Genomic DNA, 22,309 nt, shown 5'->3' with positions numbered 1-22,309 from the left:
TCTCTCCCCTGGGCTTGTTATTTTTGTTTTCTTGTTTATTTTTTAAGTGATTGGCTGGACTATTTTTTATGGAGTCTATTTCTTCCTGCAATATAACCCCTCTGACATTTATCCTCAGTGAACACAGCCTTGGGTATGCCCACAGTTACCCTGCACTGACAGTGGTTTTGGCCTATTTTTGAGAGCCTCTTCCTTTGACGATACTCACCTGTTAAGTTCAACTAATTGCTGGATGATTGCTCTATTATTTTCAAGACTATCTTGACTATTAGCTTGTTGAGTGGCTTTGGTAATAAAGGCATATTAGAATGCAAATGCTCCAGAGAACCAAAAACACTGTGACTCCTTTTAGTTTTAAGAGCCACAATATTATGGCTAGATTCTGCTGATCAGACTGGAAAAGTAACACCATAATCCCCCCAAAATGTCAGTAGCAGTGAGGTACCACTGATAGCTCTGAGAAGGGATTAAAAGTCTGATGTGCTCTATTTTCCAGGAGTGGATGGGAGCCATACCCTGTGTTATGTTGCCTCACTCACTGTAAAATAAATGGGTTGACTTGGCAAGAGTCAGAAGTCTGGCTTGTCATGATAACTCAGCATCAAAAAACATATAGTCCTTTACTTCTTACTTAGTCTATGCTGGGGCATGTGTTGCCGTATTCGGTATAAGGACAGAGCCAGACGGCACCAGTGGCAGTCCAGGTGGTACAGACTCAATCAGCAATTTGACTCCAGCTAGTTCCATCACAGAATAGGCCTTTACCCTGGACTCCTGTGTGAGTAACCCAGAAGATTTCATTAGCAGCAGTAATTTTTTTTTTTTCATTTCATGAAGCAAAATAAGGGTATCTTTAATCTGCCAGCCTACAGTTTTCAAGTGGCAGACCAAACAATTAGACCATTGGTCCTAGTCCAAAAGCCGGTCAAAATTTAACATAGTTTATTGAGGGGAATAGTGGGCAGAACAGTGAGAATGGACTTGAGTTCTACTCACTGATTTGAGCAGACATCTGCATTTTTGGTTGCGCATAGCTGTCACTAAGGCTAGACAGCTGCAGCGACTCAACAGACACTGTTGGTTTCAATTCAGCTCAACTATGTGTGAACGAGGTCCAGGCCCAGGTTCAGGAGTTCCATTGAACAACAGTTTTGTTTCAGGCAATGGACTGAAGAGTATAATTTTCCCTAAAGAGATAGCTGGTGTTTTGCAGGTAGGACCACAATGCTGTTAGTGTCTGCCCATGATTGTTGAAAATTTCCCACCTTGTATACACACTATAAATGGATGTCTCTGTAACTGTTGTCTGAAAGAAGACAGCACCTTCTGCCTCCTCTAGGATAAATCTACCATTAATTGTTACCATGGGATAGACCTGAGGCTGGCTGCTGGATTGGTGAGAAAGTTCCCCTTCTTGGAGGAGAGTTAGAAACAACCAGGGTACTGCCCAGCTAGCAGTCTGAGTCTGCTTCTTGGGACTTGGCCTGAACCCATTAAGTTGGGGAATTAAGGAAAATTCCTCCTCATTAACAGGCAATAAAATGGAGAACCACTTATTGCCCATTTAACCATATAATGTGGTCAACATGTTTACCGATAATTCCCATGGATTTCCCTCAAAGTCCATTAATTAGTCCACAAGACCCTTATCTTTCTCCTTCCTGAAAGCCACGTGTCTGTCAGCATACCATCCTTGCTGCCAAAACTGCTAAGAACTATCAAGGATCTGAGATTTCACCCTACTTGCAAAAAAATTACCAAGTTTGCCTCTGTATTAATTATGTATTGTTTAGTAACTATGTTATGAAACATTTAGCAGCTTAAATAATACCCATCGATTATTTCATAGTTTCTGTAAGTCAGGAATTCGAGCATGGCTTAGCTGGGTCCTCAATAAGGCTGCAATCAAGATGTTAGCCAGGACTGGGTTCTTATCTATGGCTTGACTAGACAAGGATCTGCTTCCAAGTGCACGTACTTGCTGGAAGAATTTAGTTTTTTTTGCAGGCTGTGTACTGGGGCTTCAGTTTGTTGATGGCTCTTGGCTAAAAACTGCTTTAAGGTCTTTGCCACATTGGCCTTCCCAACATAGCCACTTGCTTCCTTAGGGCCAGTAAGGGGAAAAAGAATCTCCTCGCAAGGCAGATGTTACAGTGATCTATAATGCAATCATGTAGATGTAGTCACATACATCCTACAACCTTTGCTATATGCTGTCTGATAGAAACAAGTCACAGTTCCTTTTCAGACTCAACAGGAGGCTAGTCACCCAGGGCGTGAATATCAGGAGGTGGGAATCATGGGGCCTCTTTAGAGTCTCTCTATCACAGTTTCAGGAGTGCTGGCAGAAGACATGAGACTCCTGGATCAGAGACAAAAGACTTTATTATTTACAGAAGCAAAACCCAGAGTATCTGCATTTGTGCTGATTTCCTGAGTGCCATTTCTCAAAGTGTGATGTGAAGAGGGCTAGATGGTATCTGCACATGGAGTAGGGTGTGCTTTGGGGAAGGAACTCTGAGCTTAGACAGACTAGATGTTTTATTAGAATCAGTAAGCATGCCTGACCTATGCCCTGAAGGAAGGTATAATCTTTGTTGCTGTGAACCATAAGCAGACCTGCCTTTGCTCTGAAGGGAGACATTACCTCTGTTTTCCAAGATTGTTTGCTCTGTAAACATCCTTGAAAAGATAGTCTGAAACCAATGCAGCCAGAACCTCTGCTTGGAAGATATGCAGAAGCATAAAACTAATGGAGAATTATCTCCTGGTGGGCATATGTTGACTCTGAGGAGCATACCTATGTATAATAGGAAAATATAGATATGTACATAAATAACTGTAATGAATGAGTGAATCTGAAAAGAGAAATTCAGTGTGCTATGAAAGCTCAAAGGAAGGCAAAGTTATTTCTAACTCCAGCGAACAGGCAATCCTTCACAATATTAATTTTGAAGCATCATGAGGATTTCAACTGGTGAGGAAAGGTGGAAAGGAAGGTGGAAATGAAAGAAGCAGTAAGGGTAGAAGAAGGAGGGAAGGTACCACATAGGTTCCCCATGTGGGGCAGTTAGTTTGACTCAACACTGGGTTAAGAAAAGGGCAGCACGGTATGGAGAAAAGTCGGAAAATGTAGAATTAAGTTGGCTGATTGTGGACCTTAAATACTTGTTTAGGTGCCATTAAAGTGTCTTGAGGAGTCCAGTTGGTGTCACGAAGGTGTTTTGAGTGAATGAGTGTAAGGGAGCCATTAATTCAGTATTACACTTTAGGGGTTATAATCTAGAGATGATGGGATGACTTGGAGTCGGCAAAAGACTTGAGGCAGAACTCCTGGTGAAAAAAAACTATTTTAAATGGTACAAGCCAGAAGGTGATGCAAGTCTAATGTATTCCTGTGGTAGTGAGAAGAAAGCGGTGCAGTTGGACGTAGACCTCTTTCATTGGTACAGCTGTTTGACTTGGTAGCTCATTGCTCCTATAATGCAAGAAAAAGGGAAGAATCAAGGGAATCCTAGGTAACTGAGAGGCTGGTGGCCCCAAGAGGAGAAATAGAGAAACTATGATAAGGTACAGATACCAGGGAGAATTTGATAAATTTGGTTTGGAATCAAAAAGAAGCCCTTTGTAAATGAACCTATTTAAATAGTTGGGTGATATCTTAATGCACTTAGATTTAATTTATTTGGTACAATACAAATTAGATGTCAAGAAAAGTCTAAAGCATTGTGACTCAAATTCAGGACCACCTTACTAAGTTTGGGTGGTAACAATTAGGAAGATGGAGATTTTCTTCTTTCATTTGACTGACATCATGCTTAGGGAAAAGAACAATCCATTTAAATAAGGATTTCTTAAAAACTGTATCGTTTCCATACGTTTAAGATCAGAAAATGTGATTATATACTACAGTTCATTTAGGTGGGAGGAGGCCATTTTTAAAGGCTAAAATTTATTATCTAAGAAGTAGGTCTTAATTTTTAAACTCATTGACTTCATAGGTGAAACACACACATACAGACTTTTCTCATTTAAGGAGAGTTATTTTGTATGTTTTTACGTAATTTGATCTTACCCTTCGATGCTGAGTACCTGGTATAGACACACACCATTGTTCCTTCAAGTGTAACCCCTTTCTAAACAGTGTGTATTCACCAGGAAGTGCTAGAATAGTTTTTGCTCCCACTGTCATTTTTAAAATTTTGTTTCTGAGCCAGCTTTCACGGTATTTGTTTCGCACTCAAAAACCAAAGTTATAATTAAGGCAGCTGTCATATGATAGCAGTAGGCACCTGGACACTTCAACTTACCTACCAGGGAAGAGAGACGGAGCAGGAAAGGAGAGAAAGACAGAAAACAGAGCCCTGAAAGTGCCTTCCTTCTTGTTCTATATTTTAAGAGGTCAATAAGATAACTTTATTAAATAAAAGAAGGAGGCCAGGTGCGGTGGCTCGCGCCTGTAATCCCAGCACTTTGGGAGGCCGAGGTGGGCAGATCATGAGGTCAGGAGATCAAGACCATCCTGGCTAACATGGTGAAACCCCATCTCTACTAAAAATACAAAAAATTAGCGTGGAGTGGTGGCACAGGCCTGTAGTCCCAGCTACTCAGGAGGCTGATGCAGGAGAATCGCTTGAACCCGGGAAGTGGAAGTTGCAGTGAGCCGAGATTACGCCACTGCACTCCAGCCTGGGTGACAGAGCAAGACTCCATCTCAAAAAATAAAATAAAATAAAATTAAATTAAAAAAAGGAAATACTTACTGTGACTTTTATATACTCAGTTTTAGAATCTTCAAAGCAACTCCATTTATTTATTTATTTATTTATTTATTTGAGTAGATACAGGGTCCCACTATGTTGCCCAGGCTGGTCTCGAACTCCTGGCCTCAAGCGATCCTCTCACCTCAGCCACCCAAAGTGCTGGGATGGCAGGCGTGAGCCACCATGCCTAGCCCATTTATTCTCATTTTATAGATTGGAAAATTGAGGCTCAGGAACGTTTAATCACCTTCCTTCAGCTATAAAGTTGTTTTTTAGTGAAGTTTGTCAGTTCTTTCTTTCTCTTTCCACTATACAATGAGTTTCTCTCCAAGAGCTAAATGACCAATATCACCAAATGTGATTTGAAGTGACACATGTACAGGGAAATTTCAAAAAAATAAACACGACTTGGTGTCTTTCTCAGGAAACCTTAACTTAAGCCAATCCTGGTTTGATATTTGAACTTAATGAGAAACTTGCTTTCTTACTTACCTAAATTCTTTTTTTTTTTTTTGACATGGCATCTCACTCTGTCGCCAGGCCAGGCTGGAGTGCAGTGGCACAATCTCAGCTCACTGCAACCTCCACCTCTCAGGTTCAAGCAAGTCTCCTGCCTCAGCCTTCCAAGTAGCTGGGACTACAGGTGCACGCCACCACACCTGGCTAAGTTTTGTATTTTTAGTAGAAACGGGGTTTTGCCATGTTGGCCAGGTTGGTCTTGATCTCTTGACCTTGTAATCCACCCACCTCAGCCTCCCAAAGTGCTGGGATTACAGGTGTGAGCCACCGTGCCCGGCCTTTACTTACCTCAATTCTTTACCTTAAATTTAAACACTTCTACCTACATCATGTTGGGGCATTATCCATCCAAATACCCTCTGGCTTTCTCTGATCGCTGGAAACTCCTGTGCATTTTTCTTGTCCCAGTAGCAGTTTCTAAGCACTTTGACTATTTATTTTCTCAGTACTTCCCACTTTCCACAGTATGACAAGTCTTTCTGGTGTCTAGCTTACCTACAAAATACATTCCTACAGCAGAATCAAGAAATAAAAATTACGGGCACTAATGGGGTACTGCTACTCTCCAGTATTGATACCCATGCAATTACTTTTCTCAAATCAGAATGTGATAATACTTTGCTTTTCTTCCTTTAAATGCTATTTAAGAAATTAAATATATGACATTTTTTGCAGCTGTTTTCTGCGTCTAGGTATTATTTGCATTGGAAATGTCATACAATAACTTTTTCAGAAGCAAAGTTTTCTTCAGAAACAAACACCTTTATGTTAAGACCTCTGCAGATCAGTCTTAGTTTAAAGCTTATGTTATTATAAAAAAAATACAGTTTAGGCCGGGTGTGGTGGCTCACGCCTGTAATCCCAGCACTTTGGGAAGCTAAGGCGGGCAGATCACGAGGTCAGCAGATTGAGACCATCCTGGCCAACATGGTGAAACCCCGTCTCTACTAAATATACAAAAATTAGCTGGGCATGGTGCGTGCACCTGTAGTCCCAGCTACTGGGGAGGCTGGGGCAGGAGAATCGCTTGAACCCAGGAGCTGGACATTGCAGTGAGCTGAGATCACGCCACCGCACTCCAGCCTGGTGACAGAGAGAGACTCCGCCTCAAACAAAACAAAACAAAACAAAACAATTTAGAGTAGCATTTTAAAATGAAAGTATTTTAAACAAAGATTTAAGATGATTTTTGCCCTCTGCCTTCCAGTCTGTGAATTCACATTCCTAAGAAATCCTTAGTCCTCGATCTTGGTATGTCCCTCTCAGTCACATATTGTAAGAAGGTGGATAAGGGCAAGCATGGTCATTTATATTGCTGAAGTTCAGGGTTGAATACATACAGATCAAATCCACCCTAAAATAAGTAGAAAACAGCAAGGCAGCCATTTGTGAAGCTAATTAAGTGGCACATTTTTTTTTAGCTTATGCTTGTTAAAAAACTATGTGCTATTTTATGAAACCAAGGCTGAAAGTGATACATACCATTGAGGGTAACACTTTTTGGACTTATTGCTATTGTTATTATATTTGAGCAATGAAGAGCATTTGGGTATAATTTAGGGCTATTTACCTTCACCCTTCTTAATATCTGTAGTCTACCCAGCTATCTCCACAACTCTTTAGCTGTCTCTGGCTTAACCATCACCATGTAGTGCACCAAAAGACTTGTGCAAGACTATTTACAGTAGCATTATTCCTCACAGCTTCAAACTGGAAACAACTGAAAAGTCCACTCACCGTTGACTGGATAAATTGTGGTAGATTCACATCATGGAATGAAAAGAACAAAACCCATTATATAAAGTGACACGGATAAATCACAGTCAATGTGATAAGTAAAAGAAGCTGGTGACAAGAGTGTAGGAACTGCAAGATTCCATTTCTATGAAGCTTAAAAGTAGCCCAAACTAATGTAAGATAATAGCATAAGTAATCCGTGCTTTAAAAATTTTAAAAACATTTTTAATGTTTTGATTGACACATAATAACTGTACATGTTTATAGGGTACATAGTGATGCTGTAGTACATATAATGTCTGATGATCAAATCAGGGTGATTAGTATGGTGGTTGGACAATTTTTTCACTTACTTTTCTAGGAAAGTACCTCTGTGTACATAGGATAACACACTATTATCAAACTCTATCTAACTTTGCTAATCTCATAGGTTAAACAAATTAAGTTCTTTTAGTTAAGTTCTAATTTTTATTTCTTATTATGAATGAAGTTGAACATCTTTCCATGTGACTAAAAGACCTTTTTAGTTCCTTTTTCTGTGAAACTCCCATATGTATATGTGTGTTTTTGTGCATACACACTCATATACATATATGTAAATATGTACAATATATGTATGTTTGTGAATATGTATCTTTTTGCTTAGTTTTTCTGTTTCTTTTATGGATATGTCAGAACTGTTTATTTATTATAGCCATCGGCCTGTGTTTGTGATATTAATTGCATTCCCTACTCCTCCCTCACCCCCAGTTTTGTAATTTGTCTTTTGATTTTGTTACAGGGCTTATTTCCAGTCAGGAAAGTTTTATTTTTATACATTTCAATGAATGTTCTATTGCTTTTGAATTTTAGGTCATATTTAGAGGGACCTTCCCTAGTCCATTATTATAAAACCTTGCTCTTAGGTTGATGGTTTTATATTGTACGGTTTAAACCTCTGTCCATTTGGAATTTATTTTGATATAAGTTGGGAGATAGCTATTTTCCCAACTCCGTTCTTTCCACAGGGTTTCCGGTTGTTCACAAACTATTTTCTGAATTATTTATTGTCTGCTTATAAGTTTGGAATGCCAACTTTTGTGTATATTGGATCCACTTCTGAGCTTTTTATCCTGTTTGCAATATTTATCCACTTGAATTATTATAGCCTATTGAAATTTAAGTTAGACTTGATCACCCCTTTATTATTCTTCATTCACAGAATTTGCCTCAAAAATTCCCATTTTTCTTTTTATTTAAATTTAAAACATATTTTCTTCAAATTTTTTCCACAAATACAATTTTCTGGAATTTTTATGAAGATTGTGTTTAATTTATTATGTCAGGAAGAACAAATATATTTTTGGTGTTGGCTGCTGCTATCCTAAAACAAGCTTCTTTATTTAAATGTTCTTCCATGTCCCTCAATAGCATTTAAAAGTTTTCTTCTTATGCTAATTTTTTATTGGTGAAAAAAGTCTATTGTTCCTATGTATTTTATTCTTTTATTGCTATAATAAATGTTTCTTCCCCCTTCAGTTCATATTCTTATTGGTTGTTTGTTTTTATATAGGAAGGAGAATGATTTTGTACTGGAGGCACCTTCCTAAATTTTTTTGTCATTGTGGTTTTTCAATTGTTTCTCCTATGTGTTTAGAGGTAAATATTGTCTTTAAATAATAAACGCAGTGGCTAGTACTTTCAGAACAATGTGGACTAACAGTGATGATGAGGACATGTGTGTCTTGTTCCTGTCTTTAGTAAGACTGCATCTAATGTTTCTGCATTAAGCATGATTGGACAATATCTCTTAGGTGATATGTAATGCTTCATTTCCATCATTTTCTAAATATTCCATAATTTCGGGTTTGATCTTATTCTTTTCTGAGTTGTTTACTAGAGAGTTTTAATATTTCAGATGATGGTTTGTTTTCTAGTGAGTTTTATTTCTAAATTCTCTTATATAGTATGCCAAGCTATCTGTTATTGTTTCTTTTTAATTATTTCATCTCATGCTCTGCTTTCTTTGCTTCTTATAATAATTTTAAAAGTTTTAATTTTTATCCTAGTGATTATTTAATAACTATAACATTATATAATACACTTAATCTTCTGTTCTTCAAGAGAGTATCTATCAACTCTCTAATACAAGCAATTGAAAATTAATTTGTTTGTCTTACATACTTCCTCCTATCATCCAATTTTAATTGTTTATATTATTTAAAAAATTATATTTATATCTCTAAGTGCAGTTATTGCTTTGTTATTTGATATGTCAGGTTTAAATTGCCTCATTTGACCCCAGGCTATTAAAACAATTTTTTAAGAAGAAATAAGCAAAACTATATTCCTTTTTACTTTTTTTCCTCCCATCTCAACTTAAAAAAAATCATACTGGCTGGGCACAGTGGCTCACCAGCATTTTGGGAGGTGAAGCGGCTCACTTGGCATTTTTGGAGGCCACGGTGGGGGATTGGTTGACCTCAGAGGTTTGAGACCAACCTGGGCAACAAAGTGAGACCACGTTTCTTAAAAAAAAAAAAAAGAAAAAGAAAAAATTATTTAAAAATATAATTTCTACATTGTCAGAGTTGAAAGTTATAAAAGTCTATTCTTTAATTTACAAGTCTCATATTCGTTCAAGTTTTGGTCACACAGCTCCATCGTTTAAAACCCTCCGTGCCAGTCCTTTAGCCATAGTGACTCCATTTCTTTCTTGGTTGTCTGAAGTTACTTTTCTGATAGTTTCTTAATAAAGCTACTGAGATTTAAAATCTTGTTGTATCTGAAAAAGTGATTGGTAAATAACAGTCTGTCTGGGTTTAAACCTCAGTCACGTGTTCTTTCCTAGAGGGTCTCGCAGGCACTGCTCCTCTGTCTTCTGGCGTTGATTTTTCTGAACTTTGAGACTAGCATTTTTTTCTTCCTCTAAATACTTGATCTTTTGTCTGGATCCCCAGATTATTCTTTTTTTGCCTCTGAAGTTTAGTAACTTTCTGGGATGTCTCAAAGAGAATATTTTGATTTTTCTTTTTCTTTTTTTTTTTTTTCGAGACAGTCTTGCTCTGTTGTCCAGGCTGGAGTGCAGTGGCACAATCTCGGCTCACTGTAAGCTCTGCCTCCTGGGTTTATACCATTCTCCTGCCTCAGCCTCCCAAGTAGCTGGGACTGCAGTCACCCGCCACCACGCCTGGATAATTTTTTTTGTATTTTTAGTAGAGATGGGGTTTCACCGTGTTGGCCAGGATGGTCTCGATTTCCTGACCTTGTGATCCACCTGCCTTGGCCTCCCAAAGTGCTGGGATTACAGGCATGAGCCACTGTGCCTGGCCCAATATTTTGATTTTTCTATAATAATTTTTCCTTTGATGTAGTGTGTCCTTTTTTCTATAAATTCAAATCTTTTATAATTTTGGCAACTTTTCTTGAATTATATCTTTATTTTTTCTGTTTTATTATTTTACTTCTACAGGGACAAACATTATACAGCTATTATGTTTTCTGCATCTGTCTTACTTGCCAATCATTTTCTCTTTAACATTTTAAGCCTGTTTAGTCCCATCTCATTTTGTTTGCTTTTCCTCATTCCTGTCATCCATGTGCCCATTATACTTTCAGTATCATTGGTTCTCTTTTATATTACTTGTAGTGTAAACTTCATTTCTCCACCACCGTTTTTTGAAGGAAAATTTGTATTATTTTAATTATTTTTAAGTACAGAAAACTCAGCAGTGTACATTTAACCCAGTTTAGTGGCAAGTTCTCTAGCCTTTGCCTTTTCGAGCTTGGTGACATGAGCCACAGACTTGTGACCCAGGACATTGCCTCCCCAGTGACAGTGGATCTCATCGTATCTGTCATCATAATTGGTCCTGATAGCTTCCACCAGTTTAGCCAAAGCGCCTTTGTCTTCCGAGTTAACCTGTGTGAAGGTGACAGTGGTGCAGGTCTTCCTGTGGACTAGATGTCCCAGTCTTGCCTTCCCCTTAATAATGCAGTAAGGGACCCGCATTTTACAACACAGGGCAGGCAAGAAGCCCACCAGCTCAGTGGGATGCACGTTGTGTGCAATCACCACCAGCTGAGCTTTCTTATTCTCCACCAAGGTGGTGATGGTGTTAACTCCTGCTCGAAGGACAGGTGGTCTCTTAGTGGGGACATCCCCTTTGCCAGCAGCTTTCTTCTCAGCCCAGGCCAACAGCCTCTGCTTCTTCTCTTGCTTTGTCTCTGTTTTGCATGTGTAGGCCAGCTTAAGCAGCTAAGTAGCTGTTTGGTGGTCCAGGGCTTGGGTGAACTGGTTAATCACAGGAGGCACTTTCAGCTGCCTATAGAGGATGGCTCTCTGCCGCTGCAACCTGATATAGCAGGGTCATTTCACAAAGTGGGTGAGGTCTCTTTTGGGCTGGATGTCCTGTCCAATGCCAAAATTCTTAGGCCTTTCCTCAAACAGGGGATTCACCACTTGCTTGACCTCCTGCTTCTTCATGACAGCAGGGGCCGCAGCCACCTTCTTCCCCTTGGCCTTCTTTCCTTTAGGCATCTTGGGTGGCGGGAGGAGCTCCACTACCTTTTTTGTCTGACTTCTTCCCTTAGCTCTTCAAGCTCATGGTTTGACTAATTATGTTAGTCCCCTGTATATTCTCTGATCGTTGCATATTACTTGAGCTCTTGTTTGCAGGGGCAATGGATTTGTTACATTTTCAAAATTCGTACTTATATATTTGTTCTTGCTTTCAGTGGCTTTATGCCAATATTTTGGGGGGATATGCCATTTCACTTGCATTTTTTTCTTTCTTTTTTATGTCATATTTTTGGGATTTTTACACTAATTCATTTTACTAAAGACTTTCATTTTTCTCAGAACAAAGCACATTTTCTCTGGACCAGGTATTTTTAGGAGGCTAATCTTCCAAAAAAGGCAAAACTATGTTTTAGCCTTGCAGAAGTTCTTATGGCTTTGACAGGTCATTCCTTCAGATCTTTTGATTTACTTCTTCCAAGCCAGCTGAGATTATTAGTAAAAGAATGACCCTAATGCAGATATTCCTTCTTTTCCCATACTGTATGAGTTGCTTATTCCAGCATAGCACACCATCTCAGAATTTAGTGGCTTAAAAACAACAAACTTTTATTAGTTATTGTGATCATGTTGGTCACATTCATAAGTTGGTTAACTTTCAAGTTGGCTCATTCCTAAGTCTACAGCTGGTGGTGGTTGGCTGGTTTAGGCTGGCCTAGGCTGGGAGTGGTTTTGCTCTACATAGCTTTCATTTATCCCCTGAGACCAGCATATTGGCCCTAGTTTTATCCTTCTCATAGCAATGACAGAGGTGCAAGAGAGTAAGGAGAAATACACAGGACTCTTGAGAATTCGTCTTGGAACTGGCACATCATTAAAGCAAATGACTTAGCTGAGCCAAGATCCCAAAGGCGAGGAAAAGACCTGTACCTTTTTAGTGAGAGTAACTGAAAAGTTGCATGAAGAAGAGCATGGATACAAGGGTGCAGAATTGGGCCATTAACACAATTTGTCACATTTGCCAAACACAGAATGCATTCTGCAGATATAACTTGATAGATTCTCTGCTCATTCCCATATTCTGTGTTTTTCATGACTCTGTTCTAACTGGCTCAAGGAATTTCCCACTGCCAGTCCACGCACCTGTTCCTTTAGTTTTAAGTAAGATGAGATAAATGAACGACTTAAGATGGCCCCACTTATCCTCACCTCCTGATATTTGCATCCTTGTATAATCCCTTCTTGACCGTGGGCTGGACTTAGTGACTTGCCTCCAAGAAAAATAGATAAATGGATGCCACTTGAAGATTAGATTATTTAAAAACTGTCACTTCCATCTAGTTCCCACTTTTTTTCATTGTTGTTGTTGTTTTCTTCCTTAGTGTAATGAAGAAAGCCACCATATTTTCCGCTGCCCTGTGAAGGGGCCCATATGGCAAGGAACTGAGAGTGGCCTCAATATCCTGCAAGGAACTGAGGCCTTTAATCTAAAGTCCTCAATCACATGAGTGGGCTGGGAAGTGGATCCTATCCTAGTTGAGACTTCAGATGACTACTGCCCTGGCTGACACCTTGATTATAGCTTATGAGTGATCCTGAATAGGGGACTCAGCTAAGCCATGTCCAGATTCCTGACCTGCAGAAACTGTGAGACATTAAATTATGATGGTTAAACCACTAAGTTTAGAAATAATATAGTATATAGCCCTAGATAGTTAAAAGCACAGACCATTGCTTTACCTTTCAGAGTATGTCGCTTGGGTTGGAGAAGCGTGTGCTGTTGGCTTTGCTTGAGATCTGCAGTAAAGGGTGTCTTTTCTCAAGCTGACTGTCATTGCATTTGGCATGTCTTCCTTACATTGTGGGTTGGTGCTTGTTTTAAAAAAATAGCTTAGAGGTTTATTAAAGAAAGAGTTCAACGTCGCTTTTCTGTTTCTCATTTTACTTATGGAGTTTGGGTAAATGTTTCATACCGTTATAAAAATAAAATTCAAGCTCTGGCTTTGCCCTCTGCATTTTATTTGTATATGCCTCCAGAAAGTCCCTGCTTTAGACCCTTGGGATAATAATAATGTGAAAAACTTAATGAACCCTATCCCAATGACTTAGTATGAAAATGATGCCAGCTTTGTGTGGTCCTACTTTGACCAAGCATCCTCCTTTCACAGTCCTGGTCTTAGATGTTCAACCCAAGAGGCAACAAATGTAGCCAAGAGCATGGGTTCTGGCATTAGATTGTCTATGTTTTTTTTTTTTTTTTTTTTTTTTTTTTAACCGTAGCTCTGGCACTTACTACTGTGTGACCCCAGGAAACTATCCTCCCTAGATTTTATTTCCCTAGCCTCTAAATACTTCACAGTATTGAAAACTAATATTGACAGTATTATGAGGCTGATGAAATAATGTATACCAAGTTTTTAACATAGTACCTGCCAGATGGCAAGTCCTCAATAAATGTTAACTATAATGCAAAAAAAATCATACTTTTATTGAATACCTATTAATTGCCTGGTATTGTGCTAGGGTATGGGGACACTAACATAAATGTAACTTGGTTCATTTTCTCAAGGAAATTATAGTCTCGTAAGTGAAATAATTTTTGTACAACATCACTGCTTCCAAACATTGTCAGGTACTTTAGTGCTGTCATCCTGATAAATTCCCCTTTGAGGTTTTATTTCTGAGAATCTGCTTTGGTTTCCTGCCTGGTATCCCAGTAACTCTAAGATAAAGGGACTTTTTATATCCGTAGGTCCTTCTAGGGAACAGCCAAATGAAAATTGCCTATCTATCTGATCTCACTCCTGGAATCTATTTAAATTATTCTCATAATATGTCCGGATCTTTTACAAAATTCTGTTGATGAAGCTTTTGGATGTAAGGGAAACATTTAGATATATCAGTTGGTTAGAGTGCATGAAGAAACTGCTGTCACTCTTATCTTTTGGCCTCTGATTGACCAGAGCCAGCAGTCCAACTTTGGCAACCCACTCTATCTAGCTACAGTTCCAGCCCACAGTCTAGGTCCCAGGGCGTCACTTGATAACCTTACTTCTCTCTAGATCTCTCTGTACGTTTTGTGTGTGTGTGTGTGTGTGTGTGTGTGTGTTTGTGTGTGTTGTGGGGTGTGAGTCAATAGCACAGTTATAGAATACTAGTCAGAGAAGTGGAGCAGAATGGAAAGCCAGGTGAGAAGGTTGGTGAGACTAAGGCACAAATAAGACCTGATTATGGTGGAGGGGTAGATAGTGAAGGGATTATCCATTGCAACTTTTATCAAGAATCAAGAGGGTCCCAGCTACTCGGGAGGCTGAGGCAGGAGAATGGCGTGAACCCGGAAGGCGGAGCTTGCAGTGAGCGGAGATCGCGCCACAGCACTCCCGCCTGGGCGACAGAACGAGACTCCGTCTCAAAAAAAAAAAAAAAAAAAGAATCAAGAGGGCCAATTGGCATGAATGCTCAAAGTGAGTTGCTTTGGTATGAATAACAAAATCACCAGGCATACACCATCCCTATAGACCTATCCAATCTACCTGGTAGATATATTTTAGAAAATAAAACTGTTTAGACTACCACCCTGCCAAAAACCAAAAATAAAAACAATGCCTCTTTCTGTTTAGGTCACAAAGTAGAGCTATTCAGAACCAAACAAACAAGGAAGCAAAAGCAAAAATTCTCATTATATCTACTTCTGTTTGCAGACACAGATGGGAGTGTGTCAAGCAGGAAACTGAAGGGAGCTGGTGAGTTTCTGGAGCTCCTGGCCAAAGCTGGGAGATCGGGTGCCTGTGGCTTATTTTTGCTGGTGTTAATCTATGATGCCTACGGTGTTGTCAAATGTATTTCATTAGTGTTTTTCCCTTATTAAATATGAAAATCATGTCAAAGGTAAATGTCAAGAGGCTATAAAATTACCCTTCTTATCTTCTGTACATTTATCAGTTGATAAATGGAAAGACACTGCTGCCAAAATAACTGAATGAATAATTTATAAATGACTGATGCATCTTGTATGTTGTTTCAGGCACAAAACAGTAGGACATCAATAATCAAAGGAAGTTGGATTAATTTAGCAGTATTTTGCCATTTATATTTTTATCTAAATGCTGCAGTCTAGACCTCGGTGGCCAGAGACATTTCTTTTCTATCATTTTTTTTTCCTAATGACTTGGAGCAGGGGGTACAGGAGGAGGGGACCCCCTGTTTTGCCTGAGAGCTCCCTTTCTCCCATTCTTTGATATTAAAGTAGTTAGCTTTGATGAATGAGAGTTGATCTATATATTCTTTCTTCCTCTGTGGACTTTCCCATAATACTTGTACCAGGGATGTAAAAAAAGCTTCTCTTGCTTTAAAATCTCTTGATTCATATCAATCCTGAATTTTAACTTTCCCTATAGGTCATTCTCCCTGTTTAATTGACATGAAGACAGTGTTATCTTTAAAGTGCTAGTCTCTGTAGCCAAATTTTCTTACATGCATTTACAATTCTGTGACATTGCAATCTCAGTCACCCTAAAAGGCCCTTTAATGTGCAGGTCAAGATGCTCAATTCTATTGATTCTGCTCCCTCTGGTTTAGGTACCTGGCCTGTCACCAACCAGAAAGAAGGCCTTGGAGGTTTGCCTCACTGCTGCAATGAGCAGAGCTGAAACTGTTCTCAGGGGAGGAAGGAAGAAAAAAAAAAACAACTCACAAAACCCCAAAGTCAGAGGAAAATCGAGGGAGAAAATGTGTTTGCATTTGGAGGGCTCAACCTGGATCTTACTTCTGAAGCTGAAGGAGCCTCTTATTTCGGGCCATCTACTAGCAAGGGGATAGGGCCACACAGTTCACATCGTGATTTAGCCTGACCTGACTTTTCAAGGGTGGCCACTTGATTATGTTTTAAAAATTCCTCCCTGTGGCTTTGCCCACCAAACCTAGAGATCTACATTTTTGCCTGTCCATTGTGAGACCGGCCTTGCCTCGGGACCCCCAGGCCCCTGCCTGTTAGCGAGAGCCGCCTCCGAGGATCACAACATCCCTCCCAACATCATAATTGGGCCGGCTCTCCCGGCGCCCCCGCTGGGCCAGGCCTGCGCACCCGAGCCAGCCCACGCCTCCGCAAGGGCTCCCGGGCTCCCCAGTCGGCCGGTTATCAGCGGCTCACGGTTAGCGAACCGCTGTGACTAAACGGAGATTGGGGGGCACTGCAGGCGAGGGATGAAAAGTGGTGCCCTCCCAGGGCACGGAGCCTATCTGCAGAATTGGCCCAGACCCTGGAACTTCACAGACAGTGCAGCAGAAGGCTCTCTTGTTTGGGCATTTATTACCTGGAGCAAAATGTGCAGAGAGGGGAGATAATGAAGTACTTGACTAATTCAGTGTGATCCAGCTGGCTGAGCCAGAGGGGCTGGTTGCGGAGCCCGAGCCGGGATGCTGAAGAACTCACTGCTAGCCATTTTCCCTAGGCACCGGGGAAGCCAAAACAAAGGAGTGCAGAGATCAAAAAGAGAGGTATCAATAATAAAGAAGGAGAGGAGACCAGGAAAGGAGGAGAGGGGGAGGGTGTAGGGCGTTCACTCCATTTTTAAGAAAGTTTTTTTTTTTTCTCATTTGATTTCCAAATCAATCACTTTCCACTCTCTAGACCCTGACATTCTAAATCCAGTAAGCTTTTTTTGGTAACTTACACCCGTTTTCTTTCCTTTCTTTCTTTCTTTTTTTTTTAAACTTGCATATTTGTCCAAGCATTCTGGCAAAACAAAAAGAGACATTCGTTTTCACACACACAGCAACAAAGATAGTGCTTCTGGTCGGGCTGGAGGTGTGCTTTTGGCCAACAGCTCTGGGACTGGAAAACCAATGTGACAAGAGGGTAGTTTTCTCTTGGGCTGCATGGAAGCCAGCTGCCTTTTGGCGTTCCCAGCCTTCTGTACCTGCTAATGGCCCCACGCCTCTGCCTCTATTCACTATCTCATGCAATAAATAATGGATCTTGCATGTTCAAATGTGTTTAAACACTTTGAAGACCATCTGCTTCCAGATACAATAAATAAAACACCGGGATGACTGACGTGAACACTATATGTATTGTAATTGTCTTTTAAAATAGGCACGGCGTTCATCCTGGGTTCTGGAGCATGACTCCTACCTGTCCCACGAGACTTGCTATCCTTCATCCTCAGAAACAAGGGGCTTCCTAAACACTCAGAAGCAAATGTGTCAGATGAGCTCTGGTGGGAAGAGTAAGTCGTGGGAGCAGAGGGAAGTCATTCTACCAAATGGGAGCTTGATTGATAAGGCCTATCGCGTGTAGGTTGACTCAGGCAAGAAGGAACACAGTGAAAGTTCTGCTCATCTTTGCTTTTTATCTGTAACTCTGGGTCTGGTTTTAGGAAATGCAGCGAGGTATGAGATCAGCTCCGAATCTTCCTTGTTTTCTTACTTTGTGCTGTCTTCATTTTCCCTTTCTTTCTTTCTTTTTTTTTTTTTTTTTTTTTTTTTGAGACAGAGTTTCGTCCTGTCACCCAGGCTGGAGTGCAGTGGCACAATCTTGGCTCACTGCAACCTTGGCCTCCCAGGTTCAAGCGATTCTCCCGCCTCAGCCTCCTGAGTAGCTGGGACTACAGGCGCTCGCCACTAGGCCCGGCTAATTTTTGTATTTTTAGTAGAGATGGGGTTTCACCATGTTGGTCAGGCTGGTCTGAGCCACTGCGCCTGGCCTCCCCTTTCCTTAGGAACCCTCATATTGCCTTTCTTTTGTTCTCATCCAAAACTTTTCTTGTGTCCTTTAATCTTACTAAGGTGTAAATGACTACTGACATTTAAAGAGTTAAGCCTCCCTTACCCCTGGGCTATTCTTATTGAACAAATCATTAAACACAAGGGATGAAGCTATGGGTTTAGAAGCATTAAACTTTAGGGCAGGGATTTTTGTGTGCGTGTGTGGCCCAAGACCCATCATTTTCTCCAAACATCACACAGGGTAGGCAGTTGCCTGTATAATCCACATGGAAGGACCAATTCATAGGCCATCATCCTTGAAATTCTGTGTTATGCGGATATTTTATGGTACGGAGCACATGTGTTAGTTCTGTTTGGCTTCCCTGTTTGGTCATGAGGAAAAACCCCAGCAGGAAATACAATATTCACTTTGGTTTTTTAAAACTTTAGAGTACCACATAAGCTTCTATTTTCATCAGGGACTCAGGGCATTTTCTGTGCAAAAGAAAAGAGACCCACTCAATCTAGACCAAGGAGCTCTGTCAGGAAGGAGCAAGTGTAAGGGAATGGTTGTTGGAGAATCCAAGGCCCAGGGCTGTCTTGGTCAGAGGAAGGCACCACTGGCAAAACTCTGGCCTTAAGGGAAGAACTGGGACATATCCTCTCCTTCTTCCTTCCAAGATCCTGGTGGTGCCTCCCTTGGCCAAACTCACCCAGCAGCCAGAGGACAAGGGAGTCTGTGCAATGTGGTCCATAGAGATGAGCCTCACAGAAAATAGAAGGATAGGGCATGGATCTGGAGGGACAGACAAATGGAGAATTACAGGCACAATGTTCTAACTTGGTTTTACTTGGGAAAAGTGAGCTAGATGCAGGTAATCTATCTGATATATTCCTGGACTCATGGACTGAACGAATTAAGTTGCTCTTAATGGTGCAATTACGCTTCGCATATCAGAAAAGTTGATAGACAGGCATGGTATTTCATACGGAACAGATCTAAGTGACTTTGATGAACTATTTTTAAAATCATTAATTAAAGCAGTGGAACTTTTTACAGATGAAAATTGGTTTAGGAATGGACTTTTTCTTGTTTCTCAGTAAGTTTAACATTATTTAAAATTACCTGGATCCTTATGCACTGTTGCATTTGGTAGTGTATACTCAACAGATTCTCCTTAAACACATGTCCAGAGAGTATTTGCTATTGACACTGGGGAGAGATTTTCAGTCTTTTTTGAACTGTGATTGGAATAGAGGCTGTACCGTGTCCTGAGTGCGCGCCACAAGCCAGTCCTATCAGCGCAGCAATTGTTTTAGAATGTCTGCACATTTTGTGATGATCATAATGGCTGATGGGGTATCAGCTCTTTTGTGGGATGATGCTTGAGTCTCAGAATTATGACACAACTCATGATACTTAGTGGAAATCAGTGAAGCAGTATTTGAAAGAGCCTAATTCAATCTCAATCATATAGCATGAACTTAACAGTTGGAATACATTTTAAAAGTACATATATGTATTTATGACCCTCACAATAGTGACATTTCAACCCTAAACAAAATATGCCACCTATATCACCTGTGTTAATGTAGTTCCATCTAGAGAGAAACTGACTTACTGAGCATGTACTGGGTGTTAAGACGTTCTGGGAAGTGCAGTAGAGCAGTATCTCAAGGGATTTCCTTCTACTGACACACAAAGCAAACCTTTGGCTTACATATGCATCTCAGAGAGTAATTTTGTATACTCTTTGGAAAAGCAGTCTGTAGTGAAAAAAAACCACATTCTGTCCATTCTAATTGTGTTTCGTACATGGAGTTTTATTTTCTACCTATGTAAATGATTATATAAACCTTTGGTGGAGTCTGTTTTGAGGTTGTGCTTTGCAAGCCTTAATGAATGTCAAGTAGTAATTATAACTTTATTGTATTTGATAATAACAGCAATAGTAATGGTAATGGTAAAAAACAATAATCATCAGTATTTGTGGCTGTGCAATAACAGTGTTTGTAGTGCCAGGTAAGTGTGGTCCAGCACCAAGTGGATGAGGCAAGCACTGTCTATCTCATCCTCACCAGCACTGCACCCAGCTTGCAGCCACACCCTGCCAAGAGGACAGGCATACTCCTGATCATTAAGGGATGAAATACCTTGTTTTCTACTGTAGTCCTAAGATCTGATGTAATTAGGACCTTATACATTCACATCCATTTCTAAATAAATGGTGCAAGAATTCCAAAGCTTCAATACTAACAGAAAACAAGCATCTTTGCCAGTCCTCAAGTCCCTTTGTCACACTGCTCTCTGTTCCCTGGGAGTCAGTAGGATATCCAAGCTGTTTTAAACAAATCTTTTACTCATTGAATATTTGTGCCAAAAACAGATTGTAAGTCATTGAGAGAAGTCTCCTCTTTGAGGAGATTTGCCCTTTCTATGAAAAGGGCACTAACTTATGTCTGTAAAATTCCTGTCTCATGATAAGACTCTTCATCCCACAGTAGCAGCATAAATAGCAGTGAAAAAGACCACAATTCATAGATCTTAGTGAAAGTCAAAGTCTATCTGTGATTTTGAACTAAAGGCAATTCCTATAATAGTTTAAGCTCCATAGTATTGTGACCTTGGGCCAATACTTTTCTGTAGAACATGAGAAATGTTTTGTTTGATTACAAAGTTGCCAGGTTATTGAAAAATTACAGATGACAGTTCTATTTTTCTCCACCCCTACCCCATAACTAAGCCTTTGAGGATATCCTCAGGATATAAACTGAATAATTATTATTTTTTTAAATCTGGGTTTTACAGATATTGCTCCTCATTGAACTGTTGCTAAACTGGAGGTTTGTACAAATTGCTGATGCTCCAGCCACAAAGCCCTGTGATTTGGGGGCCTCCCAACAGCCAAACTGACTACACAATAGCTACCGCTAAACTCCTTGGATAAACGTCTCTCTTGGCCCCAGTGTGGATGACTCCTACGCTTATCTGCTTTCTGGGGCTGTTATAAGAATTAATTAATGCTTGCGAAGAGCTATAATCACCTTGGATGAAAGGGCAGTAGAAAAATAATGACACTTCAGAGTAACATGGCACCTTTCATCTGAGGATCTCAAAGCACTTCACAAGTTTGAATTAATTAAGCCAAGGTAATTGCAAGGTATAATGACAATAACAATAATGATCATAATTATCCTCCACATTATCCTTAAGAACCTGATTTGAAATCAATTCCTGACACTTGCTCTGCCATAGCGCTGGTCAGCCCCTTGCTCTCTGTGATTTGCAGCAGGAATGCCAGGGGGTCCGTCGTTTCGTGTTTACTTGCCCCCTCCTCACTAGCAGTGTTCATGGCCTCTGCCATCACCATGGAATGAATGTGGATTTTATGGAAAGAGGGACTTAGTATCCTGGCTTAGCACCCATATTAGTGATTTTTCCAAATAGATGAAATAGGCTGCTATGGTTTAAATGTCCCTGACAAAGCTCATGTTAAAAGTTAATTGCCAGGCCAGGCGTGGTGGTTCAAGCCTATAATCCCAGCACTTTGGGAGGCTGAGGTGGGTGGATCACGAGGTCAGGAGTTCAAAACCAGCCTGGCCAATATGGTGAAACCCCATCTCTACTAAAAATACAAAAATTAGCCAGGCGTGGTGGCGTGCACCTGTAGTCCCAGCTGCTTGGGAGGCTGAGGCAAGAGAATCGCTTGAACCCAAGAGGCAGAAGTTGCAGTGAGCCAAGATCACGCCACTGTACTCCAGCCTGGGCAGCAGAGTGAAACCTCATCTCAAAAAAAAAAAAAGTTAACTGCCAATGTAATAGTACTGGGAGGTGGGGCCTTTAAGTGGTGATTAGGTCATGAGGGCCTATTACTATGGGAGTGGCTCCTGATCAAAGGATAAATGTGGTCTGATGTCCTCTCTGTCTTGCCTGCTCACTTGCCTTTCTGCTTTCTACTATAAGATGACCCTATAGCAGCATTTAGTACAGGTGCTCTAAAGAGGTAGAGAGTCCACTGCTCCAGTGGTGGCTAAGAGCCCAAATAATACAGGCAGAGATCTAGTCTCTTACATAAACCTTAGGCAT

The 22,309-nt window shown here is 40.3% G+C and overlaps 1 long non-coding RNA gene and 2 pseudogenes across 2 annotated transcripts in view; 2 read left to right on the top strand and 1 right to left on the bottom strand.

Moving 5' to 3' along the window:
- OFCC1 (orofacial cleft 1 candidate 1 (pseudogene)) overlaps window positions 1-22,309 on the top strand; it is a 506,631-nt pseudogene that overhangs the window by 81,619 nt on the left and 402,703 nt on the right. The gene's annotated exons all lie outside the window — the stretch shown is intronic.
- Window positions 1-22,309, top strand: part of LOC124900218 (uncharacterized) — a 45,268-nt gene that overhangs the window by 10,695 nt on the left and 12,264 nt on the right. The window contains exon 2 of the long non-coding RNA XR_007059909.1: window positions 15,219-15,260. This is a non-coding gene — a long non-coding RNA (uncharacterized LOC124900218). The remainder of the gene's footprint in view (window positions 1-15,218; window positions 15,261-22,309) is intronic.
- On the bottom strand, window positions 10,678-11,556 carry RPL7AP36 (ribosomal protein L7a pseudogene 36; annotated as a pseudogene).

The sequence above is a fragment of the Homo sapiens genome, chromosome 6 (genome assembly GCF_000001405.40).
Source record: "Homo sapiens chromosome 6, GRCh38.p14 Primary Assembly".
Lineage (NCBI taxonomy): Eukaryota > Metazoa > Chordata > Mammalia > Primates > Hominidae > Homo > Homo sapiens.
This window is presented reverse-complemented; position numbering and strand designations above follow the sequence as displayed.